Source organism: Homo sapiens, chromosome 10, assembly GCF_000001405.40.
Source record: "Homo sapiens chromosome 10, GRCh38.p14 Primary Assembly".
Classification (NCBI taxonomy): domain Eukaryota; kingdom Metazoa; phylum Chordata; class Mammalia; order Primates; family Hominidae; genus Homo; species Homo sapiens.
Genome location: NC_000010.11, coordinates 34685834 through 34699318, shown reverse-complemented (window position 1 = coordinate 34699318; position 13485 = coordinate 34685834). Strand labels below are relative to the sequence as shown.

Genomic DNA, 13485 nt, shown 5'->3' with positions numbered 1-13485 from the left:
CAGCATGCTCTGTTGGGGTTACTGTTGATCTCCTGCTCAGTTCTTTTCAAAACGTCATATCCATTCAGCACATTTTTGTGGAGTGGCATTTAATAAGTGGCAGCCTGATATTTGCCTTGGCATGATGTTATCATGATTGCTTGGCATAGCTGACTGTTGAGTCAGGACCCCTCCGGAGGCAGGAGTCAACCATTGACTCTCAAAATTAGAAAAGCCTTGATCAGTTAGTTGGAGGATTACAAGCCAAGTTTATAGAGTATTTCAAAGAGAGGGTAACATATTCTGCTGATAGACCAAATAAGATGAGGACAGACAACAGACTTTTGTGTTAAGCATCGTGGAGGCTGCTGTGGATATGATGGAAGAGGAAGCCTGATTGGAATGGGGTTATGGGAGGAAGACACACTTGAAGCAAGTATAGACAATTTTTAAAAAAAATTTGCTGTGAAGATCATCAAAGAATTGGTATAATAACCGGAAGGTAAAGTAGTGTCAACAAAAGGTTTTGTGCTGCATATGTAAAAATAATTCACAGCCTTTAAAGGCTCACGCTTGACACCTGACTCTATCTTCCATACGATTGTGGTTTTTAGGAACATTAACAGTGGGACAGGCTGGGCTCAGTGGCTCATGCCTATCATCCCAGCACTTTGGGAGGCTGAGGTGGGAGGATTGCTTGAGCCCAGGAGTTGGAGGCTGCATTGAGCTATGATTGCACCATTGTACTTCAGCTTGGATGACAGAGCGAGACTGTCTCTAAACAAAAGAAAACAGTGGGCTGGAGTTAGACTGCTGATCTGCTTTGGGGGTGTGATGGTCAGGAAAAGCTCTTGGAGAAGAGGATGCCTGAGAAGTCTTGATGGACAGACAGGGCTGGCCTGGAGGGTAAGGTGTGGTCCAGGCATTGGAGGCCTTGGGCACAGAGTGGGGGGAAAATGGTGCAGGGCCTAACAGGCTGTGAAAGGGAAAGTGCTGGGGAAAAGGTGGAAATGTAGCAAGTTCTGAAGGATGAAGTTATGAGGTTGAGAAAGTCCATAGGTGCGGATTTATTTCCAAGGGGTGGCTACAAATATTATATAAAGGCTGCAGATAATGATCTCATCTGGAGGGAGTGAACAGGATTAGGAGGCTTAAAGAATGGTTTCATAAGCCACATTTTGGAGGTTGGTGTGCTTGTGTGTGTGGAAGTATTTTAGAAACGAAAGTTGATATTTAAGTTGATTGGGTCACCCTTGAGCTTGCTTGGTGGGAAGAGGTGGGCAGGATGTGGCTATTCTAAGTGGCCAGGGGACACCTCTTTCTTATTCACCCCCAGGACATTATTTCCAATTTTCCTTGAAGAGGAAATACCATTTACCATCAGTAAATGGTTTTGGGACTTCATTCTTTGGGGACTCAACACATCTGGAGATGCCAAATTCTGGAGCTGTCTCAGTGGCAGGTGTCCCAGGGACTCCTGGATGATGTTGTAATTGGGATTCATGTGCAGTCAGAATAGGCCCCACAAATGAAGAGGATGCCAACGTGTGTGTGTGTGTGTGTGTGTGAGTGTTTGTTTTACAAACTTACTCTCTGTGTTCTAGATAAATGATTCCTTTCATAGAGGTCCAGATAGATGAGGGTGCAGAGGAACTCTGTTACTTGCAAAATGGTTTTAACGGTAATGTTTAATAACTTTGAGGATTAAGGTCTGAGTTACTTGCTGTGCTGGTTAAAAAGTGACAAGGATTGGTCATTCTGCATTTTTAAAATAAGTGTTCCGTTTCAGTGATACTTAGGCATGCTTTGTTAGAGATGGACTTGGAGAGCTTCTTAATAATATGGATTCTCCCCGCACCCCTGCTCCAGGGTCTTAGTCAGTAGATCTGGAACAGGGTCCAGGAATCTGTATTTTAACTCTTCATTAATCATTAGCCTCCTTCTTCCAATCTTTGCTTCAGGAAAGAACTGTATCAAACATCATCTTTAGGTATGAAGAATGGAGGATTGAACTTCTGGATAGCAATTGTGTTGCAGAATGAAAGCAGTAGGGAATGGTGAAACATGCAATTTAGTATATTTTCATCTGAATATGTACGTAAGAGTGATGTAGAAGTTCAGAAACACACAACTATGTTTCTTCTTCAGATCATTTGAAAGCAGAGTTTTAAGGATTTTAAAATATACGTACACCATATAGAAGTGTATAAAATTTAAAATGATGTCCTTTTTTTTCCTTCTCCTCAATCCCACTGCAGGATAACCACTGCAAATTTTGAGGGGGGTGTGTGTGTGTGTGTGTGTTTACGCATTTTAATATGTGTGTGTGTGTGTGTGTGTGTGTCATTTTGTCTCTGTAAAAAGAGGCTCAAGCCACACAGGATGTGCTTTGTTCACTACGGTCTTGTCAGCATCCTTCTGTGTCCCTATCTTTAGACCTATTTGTAAGAAACACTTGGAGCCACCAGGGTGTGCAAACTACTTTTTGCAGATAAGCAAAAATACAAATTCTTCAGACACATAATATATGCTGTTTGCTTATTAGAATATTTCTGTAGATTGCATTGGGGGTTAATAAGTATAATAAGTATTTCATATATTGGGCAATAGGAAATCTAGTATGCTTTAGAGAAATCAGTATTACTTATGCAGTACATATTGCAGGTTTGTGCAGTTCCTATCATAATAGAGTATCAGCATCAGAGCCAAAGGGAAGAGTGTGTATGAGTCACTCCATCATAAAAGGAGCAGTGACTCAATACCAAACTTAGGGTGCTGTCTGAATTTTTAATCAGTTGCAGTATTGTTGATATGAGGTTGATTCCTTTTTATGGGCAGGAAGTTATCACGGTTTAAAATGTCTAATTCCCTTTTGGTGATGCTAACTTGCTATATTCAGTGTTTCTGTTCTTTCGTATAGGATCCAAACTACTGGATACAGGTGCATCGCTTGGAACATGGAGATGGAGGAATACTAGACCTTGATGACATTCTTTGTGATGTAGCAGACGATAAAGACAGAGTGAGTTCAGGTCCTGGGGAACCTGTTCTGAATGCATTTTTTTTTTTTGAGGACTAGGGAGCGGGTGCGATTCTTTTCCTTTCTGTTTTAGACACATACTTTAAATTATGTGTGGGCCACCCACTCTAGTATATTTTCTTTTATAATAAGTATCATGAATCTTCACTGTCCTGAATACCAAGGTATAATGATTTTCTTGATACCTGGGACTTAACACTAGGTTTTGGGGTTTTAAAACTACACTTTTACAATGGAAATATCACAAAAAGATTTCTATGCCATATTCTGCCTTAATTTAACCAAACATAACATCTTTCTTCACAACTCGGGCCTGTCCTTATCATCTCCGTGTATACAACATGCAGCCATTCTGCATTCTGGTCCCAGCGTTGGCCCTGAGAAGATCCATCCCAACCGTGGCCTTGGCGGTGCACCGTGCTCCTGTGCAGTGGGCGAGTGTGTCCCAGGCAGCCTACCCTGTGCAGGGCCTGGCCCTCAGGAAGCTCAGCCTTGCTGTGCGATGGGCCATTTGTGTCCCGGGCAGCCTCTCCTGTGCAGGGCCTGGATCTCAGGAAGCTCGGCCTTTTCTCCATCAGTGCTCTGATGCTCTGTGTGTGCTTCCCCAGTCTTTACTGTGGTCTGTGAGTTTGGCTCCTGGACCTATCCACCTACTGCTCTTCAGTGTTCCCTCCCACTACCCCACTTTTTTTCTGTACTCTTGAGAGGAATGAGGAAGAGGAAGAGGAGGGGGAGGAGGAACGTTCAGCGTTTTGAGAATGCGTGACAGGATGTTCGGCTCTGGATGTAGAAGTCAGCAAATTCTTTTTTTTTTTTTTTTTTGAGATGGAGTCTTGCTCTGTTGCCCAGACTGGAATGCAGTGGCGTGATCTCGGCTGCTCACTGCAACCTCTGCCTCCTGGGTTCAAGCGATTCTCCTGCCTCAGCCTTTTGACTAGCTGGGATTATAGGCGTGCACCACCACGCCTGGCTAATTTTTGTATTTTTAGTAGAGACATGGTTTCACCATGTTGGTCAGGCTGGTCTTGAACTCCTGACCTCATGATCCGCCTGCTTTGGCCTCTCAAAGTGTTGGCATTACAGATGTGAGCCACCACACCCGGCCCTGGCCACTCCTTTTGTATTTGGCTTATAAGGAATTGCAGAAGGGCTCATAGCCACATACATAGTTACATCAGCATGGTAGTATGGAGGCAGCGGCCTGGTCGACTGTCTCCTAAAACCTCCCTGCACAGGGTATTTAACCAGCTAGGTTACATCGTGAGGTCAGAAGATGGTAAGATCACCCAGATATTCACTCTGCTTCCTACTGGGGCTCCTTCTCATTCCTGGCCCTCTCCCCACCGGCCTGCTCTTCTTTCCCTCAGCTGTGAGCTGGGTGCACACAGCTGTTGTGTCTTGTTCACACCTATATTCCTGACAGTTAGCATCATGCCTGGCTGAGAGTTGGTGCATATCTTAAATGTTTTCTTGAAATTTCAAGTAAGACAAAAAATATCAAATACCAAATAGTGTATAAATTTGGAAGATTAGATTCACTGTTGCACCTGTCATGGTGGAATTTGTCCCATGTGGCTCCTGTGGGTCAGGAATACATTGTATCAAAAAATGCAGATCCTGGCTAACAAGGTGAAACCCCGTCTCTATTAAAAATACAAAAAATTAGCCGGCTGTGGTGGCGGGTGCCTGTAGTCCCAGATACTCAGGAGGCTGAGGCAGGAGAATGGCGTGAACCTGGGAGGTGGAGCTTGCAGTGAGCTGAGATCACACCACTGCACTCCAACCTGGGCAACAGAGCTAGTCTTAAAAAAAAAAAAAAAAAAAAAAAAGCAGAAGTTTTCTGCCGACTTATGTTCTGATGCTATTTTTCTTGGTGCCGTTTCTCCTTCTTGGGCTTTTGAGTGAGCCAGGCTTAGGGTAACTCTGAAATCCTTTTCTGCAGTCCACATGAAGAGTACCATCTTTCATTTATTGTGTGGCTCAATTCCAACACTCAAGGCAACTACAGAGATTTATGAAGAATTTAAACAGGTGCTCTTTTTCCACCAGAGTATTAGAAAGCGATGAATTAACGTATCAATCTTTCAATGTCTTCCTCTTCTCCCTTCTTCTTCGTCCTTCTTTTTTTTGTTTCTTTTTTTTTTTCTTCTCCCTCTCTTTCTCAGTCTCTCTCTCTTGCTGTTACTTCCTATGTAAAAATAGCACAACTCCTTGTGAGGAAAAATTGGAAAATGCAGAAACATACAAAGGAATTAATCACCTGACATCCTGCTATTGCTGAGAGCTTATCACTGTTGTTTGAGATTTTCATCCTGACTCTTCCCTTTCTTCAGATAGATAGAAACACAGTCTTTTTCTTTTAAATAAAGAGACTTGAATAGTAGTTTTTTGTTTTGAGGTTAGCATATATATATTTCTGTGTCCATGAACCATAGCTATGCCAACATGGCTGTGTAGTCTTTTGTTTTAATTTAATTTATTTATTTAGAGACCCAGGCTGGAGTGCAGTGGTGTAATTATAGCTCACTGCAGCCTCAACCTCCCAGGTTCAAGTGATCCTCCTGCCTCAGCCTCTTATTTTTAAAAAAGTTTTATTCTAGATTCAGGGGTACATGTGCAGGTTTGTTATATAGGTAAATTGAGTGTCATAGGGGTTTGGCATACAGATTAGTCACCCCAGGTGATAAACATAGTACCCAATAGGCTAATTTTTTGATCCTCTCCCTCTTCAAGTAGGCCCTGCTGTCTGTTGTTTTCCTCTTTATGTCCACGTGAGATCATGCATTATTTGGTTTTCTCTTCCCATGTTAGTTCACTTAGCAATAATAGCCTCTAGCTCCATTCATGTTGTTGCAAAAAACATGACCTTGTTATTTTTTATGGCTGCCTAGTGTTCCATGGTATGTTTGTACCACATTTTCTTTATCCACTCTACCACTGAAAGATATTTAGGTTGATTCCATGTCTTTGCTATTGTGAATAGTGTTGTGATGAACATATGTGTGCATGTGTCTTTATGGCAGAACAGTTTATATTTCTTTGGATATATACACAGTAATGGGATTGCTGGGTTGAATGATAACCCTGTTTTAAATTCATTGGGAAATTGCCACACTGCTTTCCACAATGGCCAAACTAATTTACATTCCCACCAGCAGCGTATAAACATTCCCTTTTCTCCACACCCTTGCCAGCATCTGTTATTTTTTGACTTTTAATTTTTTTCTTCGAATTTCTCACGCGACACGGATGTATTGTTTTATTTAATAATTGCCACTCTGACTGGTGTGAGGTGGTGTCTCATTGTGGTTTTGATTTGCATTTCTCTAATGATAGTAATGTTGAACATTTTTTCATAAGCTTATTGGCCATGTGTATGTATTCTTTTGAAAAGCGTCTGTTCTTGTTCTTTGTCCACTTTGTTTTGAGATGGAGTCTCGCTCTTTTGTCCAAGCTGGAGTGAAGTGGCACAATCTCAGCTCACTGCAACCTCCATCCCCTGGGTTTAAGCGATTCTCTGGCCTCAGCCTCCCGAGTAGCTGGGATTACAGGTGCCCGCCACCATGCCCGGCTAATTTTTGTATTTTTAGTAGATATGGGTTTTGTCACGTTGGCCAGACTGGTCTCAAACTCCTGACCTCAGGTGATCCACCCTCCTTGGCCTCCCAAAGTGCTAGGATTACAGGCGTAAGCCACCACGCCTGGCCTCTTTGCCCACTTTTTAATGGGGTTGTTTTATGCTTGTTAGTTTGCTTAAGTTCTTTATAGATGCTGGATATTCAACCTTTGTTGGATGCATAATTTGCAAATATTTTCTCCCATTCTGTAGGTTGTCTGTTTACTCTGTTGATAGTTTCTTTTGCTGTGCAGAAGGTTTTTAGTTTAATTAGGTCCCATTTGTCAATTTTTGTTTTTGTTGCAATTGTTTTTGCTGTCTTCATCATGAAGTCTCGTCCAGGACCTATGGTCAGAATGGTATTTCCTAGGTTATCTTCCAGGGTTTTTATAGTTTTAGATTTTATATTTAATTCTTTAATCCATCTTGAATTGATTTTTTTTTTTTTTTTGAAATGAAGTCTCGCTCTTATCACCCAGGCTGGAGTGCAATGGCGCGATCTCAGCTCACTGCAACCTCTGCCTCCCAGGTTCAAGTGATTTTCCTGCCTCAGCCTCCTGAGTAGCTGGGATTACAGGTGCACGTCACCATGCCTGGCTAATTTTTGTATTTTTAGTAGAGATGGGATTTCACCATGTTGGCCATGCTGGTCTCGAACTCCTGACCTCAGGCAATCCACCTGCCTCGGCCTCCAAAGTACTGGGATTACAGGCGTGGGCCACCATGCCCAGCCCTTTGAATTGATTTTTATGTGTGGTGTAAGGAAGGGGTCCAGTGTCAATATTCAGCATATGGCTAGCCTGTTATCCCAGCACCATTTATTGAATGGGGTGTTCTTTCCCTGTTGCTTGTTTTTGTCAGCTTTGTCAAAGATCAGATAGATGGTTGTAGGTGTGTGGCATTATTTCTGGGCTCTCTCTTCTGTTCCATGGGTCTGTGTGTCCATTTTTGTACCAGTACCATGCTGTTTTGGTTACTGTAGCCTTGTACTGTAGTTTATAGTTGGGTAATGTGATGCCTCCAGCTTTGTTCTTTTTGCTTAGGATTGCCTTGGCTATTCAGGCTCTTTTTCAGTTCTATGTGAATTATTCTTTTTTTCCAATTCTGTGAAGATTGTCATTGGTATAGTTTGATAGGGGTAGCATTGAATCTGTAAATTGCTTTGGACAGTGTGGCCATTTTAACAATATTTGTTGTTTCAATCCAAGAGCATGGAACATTTTTCCATTTGTTTATATCATATCTGGTTTCTTTGAGCAGTGTTTTTAAATTCTCATTGTAGAGATCTTTCGTTTCTTTGGTTAGCTGTATTCCTAGGCATGTTATTCTTTTTGTGGCTATTGGGAATGGGATTGTGTTTCTGATTTGGCTCTTAGTTTGGATGTTGTTGGTGTGTAGGAATGCTACTGATTTTTATACATTGGTTTTGCATCCTGAAACTTTGCTGAAGTTGTTTATCAGATCAAGGAGCTTTTGGGCAGAGACTGTGGGGTTTTCTAGGTATAGAACCATATCATCTGCAAACAGGGAGAGTTTGACTTCCTCTCTTCCTATTTGGGTGCCACCTCACCTCTTGAGTAGTTGGGACTATAGGCATACTGCACGATGCCTGGCTAATTTATGTAAACATTTTTGTAGAGACAGGGTCTCATTGTGTTGCCAAGGCTTGTCTCAAACTCGTGGGCTCAAGTGCTCCTCCTGCCTCGACCTCCCAAAGTGCTGGGACTACAGGCATGAGCCACTGCGCTCGGCTGTGTTTTGATGTATGGATTCATGTACAGTCTCGTTGTACTTGCTGTGGACACTTAGATGACTATGGAGACAGCTGCTGTGCTCACCTGTACGCTTTTCCCTTTGGCACTCTCTGTACTCTGAGCAGCTGAGATGAGCACGCCTGTTTCTCCACCACGTTTCCTTTTTACTTTTACAGACGCAGGTTTTCCCTCGGGGTTCTGCCATCCTTCTTTACACCTTGACTTTGTGCCTTTCCATAGAGCTAGCGAGGCGTGGCTTATAACATGTTTTCTGGGATATGCCTGGCCCTGGTGCATGGCTTGGAATAACCTGTTGTGGAAGTTTGGTTGTTGCACAAGTAGGATTTATGGGGCTGTACGATCTCAATGCTTCTGAGAATGCTGAACTCAATGGACTCATTTATGCTCAGCATAATGTAGTAAGGCCTGAAGGGTTATGCAGTACCAATTACTGTTTCCATTTGTCCCCTTGCACTCCAGCTGACATTAGATGCCCTCAGAGTTTATGTTTGGAGCCAGTAGAACATCATGATGTAGATGTTCAGCACAATGATTTTTGCAGTCTTTTGAAATGTATGGAGACATATTTTTTGGTCTAGCATATGGCCTTTTTGGTGGACATTTTATGGGTACTTGAAAATAATGTATTCTGCAGTCATTGGGCTATTATAAAAATCAGTGAGGCCATCCGGGCATGCTGGCTCGTACCTGTAATCTCAGCCCTTTGGGAGGCTGAGGTGGGCAGATCACTTGAGGTCAGGAAATCAGGATGAGCCTGGCCAGCATGGCGAAATCCCATCTCTACTAAAAATACAAAAATTAGCTGGGTGTGGTGGCATGTGCCTGTAATCCCAGCTACTTGGGAGGCTGAGGCAGGAGAACTGCTTGAACCCAGGGGACGGAGGTTGCAGTGAGCTGAGATCGCCCACTGTACTCCAGCCTGGGCGACATAGCAAGACTCTGTCTCATAAATAAATAAATAAATAAATAAATAACATGTAAAAATCAGTGAGGGTAAGGTGGATGATGTTGTTTTGGATCTTTACTGAATAATGTGTTATTCAGCAACTGAAAGTCATGCACTCTTGTTTTGACACAATTAACTGTTAGATTATACACAAAACCAAGCAAAAGGCAAACTATGCTTGATCTTTTTAAATAGTGGCATATTAAAATTATACAATTCTTAGTAAACGACGTTTTAGATTTTGTATCCTTCTGCGAATTTGATAATAAAAAATATATTTTCTAGAATCTTTTATCATATTTCCTATACAAATTAAAATGTCCTTTAACCTGAGAAAAATATTTTAAACATTAATAGGTGAAATAACACTTTAGACAATTTTATATCATGTTGATTGAAATCAGTTTCCAAATAGAAAAATGCTAGAGCACCTTATACCATAGACTGAAGTAGCTTTTAAAGCCGTTTTTTATTTGTTCAGAAATACTTTAAAATATATGCATAATTGATTTAAATATTGTTGAGTGACATTCCTAGATTAAAGTGCCCATTATAAGTTGAAACTGTAAGAAATATGATTAGTAGCTTAGACTCACAACACCTAGTTTTTCATAATTCACACAGATTCACAGTCATGGCTGGACGCATTATTCAGACTGAGGGATCGTGTGATGCAGTCGGTCGCACGGCTCTTTTCCGTGGCTCTGACATTCGATCCTGATTTAATCATTCTGGAGTGTTTTCAACTATTTTTGGCAGCTGCTCCAAGTAAGGATTTTGACACTTGTTTTGCTTTTTGGTTTAAGGAAAAAAGAACAAGCATTATACCTCTCTTAAATAATAACATGTATCTAAAATAATGTCCTGTTTTGTGAATATCCCCTGGATGCATGTTGAAAACGTAGATACCTGGCCTGGGAAATAGGATCTCTGTGAAGGGTCCTGGGCATCTGCATTTTACAGTCCCCCTCCTGCTGCTATTTAGGCTCACTAAGTTACAAAACCACAGCTTTAATGGCTCTGCCTCTGTAGCAGGGAAGATGCTCTTGAAGATGCAAATTTTATACTTGGTCGTTGTGAATTTGTAACATTATTAAAAACTTATTTTTTATGGAGGGGAAGAGGCAGTATTTTAAATGATAGCAAAAGAAAATTAAAGTCAAGTACTAAATTACCCCTAATTTTCCTCATTATCCTTTAATTATTAACGTTCAGGGCACAGCACTGAGGAAGTTTTCTGTTAGTGCCTATACAGTTCTCACTTCCAGGATTTACCCAAATTTGTTCAAATGGTACTATTATATTACCCTGGCCCCTTGGAGTAGGTTTGATTTTCTAAGGTGTAGAATACTCTAGATCTCTTTGAGTGTAAAAAGGTACTTTGTTTTGTTTGTCCTTTCTCTGTGTTTCTGGAACAGTGATGTCGTGTTTACTCTTAGCATCTCAGTCTCAGTTTTCTCAATTGACATTTTGCCAAATTAGGAAAAACTGAAACAGTTTAATGTTATCTTCACCACCATTTAGAGCAGCTGTCATGCGTTTGTGTACGTGAACTTTCCTGATGGACAAGCTGTATTTTGTGTGAATCTCTGTCTGGTTTGGTCTTTGTCATTTATTATTTGAGGACCTTCCCTTCGTTCTCAACAGTGGGCCTAGGCCACTCCTGTTTATTCCCTGTGGGTAGTACAGCAAATTTAGAAATGTGGATAATTTTTCCAAATTTATCACAGAATAAAAATACTTGGGATTCAGTTCCTGCGCAGGCCAGTCACCTGAGACTGATTGTAAGGGGCGTAAACAAAGATTTCAGAGCCAGGCGCCATGGCTCAGGCCTGTAATCCCAGCACTTTGGGAGGCCAAAGCGGGTGGATCACTTGAGCCCAGAAGTTTGAGAGCAGCCTGGGCAACCTAACGAGACTGTTTCTACAAAAAATACTACAATTAGCTGAGTGTGGTGGTGCTGGCCTGTAGTCTGAGCTACTCAAAGGCTGAGGTGGGAGGATCGCATTGAGCCTGTGAGGTTGAGGCTGCAGTGAGCCATGATCACGCTGCTCTACTCAAGCTTGGGCAACAGAGTGAGACCCTGTCTCAAAAAAAAAAAAAAAAAAAAAAAAAAGATTTCAGGTGTAACTGACCGGGCATGTGGAGTCAGTAGGTGGCGGGGAAGTACACTTTTGTGTGGATGATCAACAGGGAGAAAGTCTTCCTCTTCCCCATGTTGTCATCTTTTACTATCTTTGGTGCTGAAGGTGATTCAGAGATGTAATATCAAGCACTTCCTTTGTCGTTCTTGGATGTAATTTTGCTTTGAGCAGGAATGATGTCATGTATGTTCTGTTTTGGTGGTGACCCTGTGAGATGCCTTGCACTATCTGTTTCTTGCCCTTTGTGGAGGAAGTCTTGGATGGAATGGCTGTGTAAACTCAGTTTGAAGAGTTTGCACGTTTATGCTGAAGCCAGGCATGGGGAAGGATTGTGGTGGAGATTGCTGGCTGCTAAGCCTGTTGATGTTTATCAGAGAATTTGGGATTTTCTAGGGGGTGATTTGGCCAGTTCCGTTAGAAAAATGTTGGGAAGAAAAAGAAACTTTAAAAAACTTATTGGGGATCACAGGCAGGCAACAACTCCACGTGCTGAGGAAAAGCTAACAGGGGCACATTTCCATCCTTCCCCAGCCCCCTTGCCCTGGGTATAGTCTCTAACTTACATACTGATGTTGTTTTGGTGCCTCTTATGGTAATAAAATTACTGCCCCATTAGGCATTTTATATTGATATTTTTGAAATGTGCTATAATAATTTTTGCTTTTGAAATACAAGTATGGCAGAATTTTCAGGTTAGGAACATGCTTTAATGTAAAAAGTTCATAATTTTTTATTTTTCTAATTTATTATTTTATTTGTTTATTTTTTTTGAGACAGAGTCTTGCTCTGTCGCCCGGACTGGAGTGCAGTGGCGCTGTCTCGGCTCACTGAAACCTCTGCCTCTTGGGTTCAAGCGATTCTTCTGCCTCAGCCTCCCGAGTAGCTGGGATTACAGGCGCTCACCACCACTCCCAGCTAATTTTTGTATTTTTAGTAGAGACAGGGTTTCACCATGTTGGCCAAGCTGGTCTCGAACTCTTGACCTCAACTGATCCACCCTCCTCAGCCTCCCAAAGTGCTAGGATTACAGGTGTGAGCCACCATGTCCGGCCTGGCTTTTTTTTTTCTTTTCTTTTTGAGATGGAGTTTTGCTCTTGTTTCCCAGGCTGGAGTGCAATGGTACGATCACAGTTCACTGCAACCTCCTTCCCCCAGGTTCAGATAATTCTCCTGCCTCAGCCTCCTGAGTAGCTGAAATTACAGGTGCCCACCACCATGCCTGGCTAATTTTTTTTTTGTATTTTTAGTAGAGATGGGGTTTTACCATGTTGACCAGGCTGATCTCGAACTCCTGATCTCAGTTCATCCACCCGCCTCGGCCTCCCAAAGTGCTGGGATTATAGGCGTGAGCTACTGCGCCTGGCCCTATTTTTTTTTTTTTTAAGGGAGTTCTTATTAATACATACTGAAGTTTCCTAAGGAAGTGCCTTTGGTGGATAGAATTTTCAACTATGGCCAGTTTCCTTTAACATTAAAATATACAAAATATTAAAAGCAACTTGAGTATGTAGTGAAAAGACAGAAAAGAGCCATAGGAAAATTATCGCACAAGGACCGAGGTTGTAAGTTATTATCCAGATTCTAATTTGTTAACATTTCACAGAGCTACAAGCTGTAAAAATAAGACATATTAAATGAGGGAGGGCTTCACATACTACATTTGTAACAATTGTAGTTCACACTTAAGGAATTCAAGTAAATTATGTGTTAGTGAAAAGCAGTGATACCTGAAATAACTAAGGTGTTCTTATTTCAAGTAAGTAGTATTTTAGTTATTACTAAACATGTGAAATTAATTTGAGTTCAGTGTTTTACATGCAAAAATGGGATGAGTTGCAGGGTGGGGATCCCAGAAATGTGTTTAATTTCCATTAGGATGTGGCATCATATGATTACTACCTCGAATTTTAAAATGATTGCAGAAAGGCCGGGCATGGTGGCTCACCTCTGTAATCCCAGCAGTTTGGGAGGCTGAGGCAGGTGGA

General features: G+C 41.7%; 1 protein-coding gene across 11 annotated transcripts in view; it reads left to right on the top strand.

Moving 5' to 3' along the window:
• PARD3 (par-3 family cell polarity regulator) overlaps positions 1 to 13485 on the top strand; it is a 705736-nt gene that overhangs the window by 115978 nt on the left and 576273 nt on the right. For all 11 annotated transcript variants that reach the window (NM_001184790.2, NM_001184791.2, NM_001184789.2 and 8 more), the window contains exon 2: positions 2900 to 3001. In NM_001184790.2, coding sequence (NP_001171719.1) covers positions 2900 to 3001 — 102 coding nt within the window. The remainder of the gene's footprint in view (positions 1 to 2899; positions 3002 to 13485) is intronic.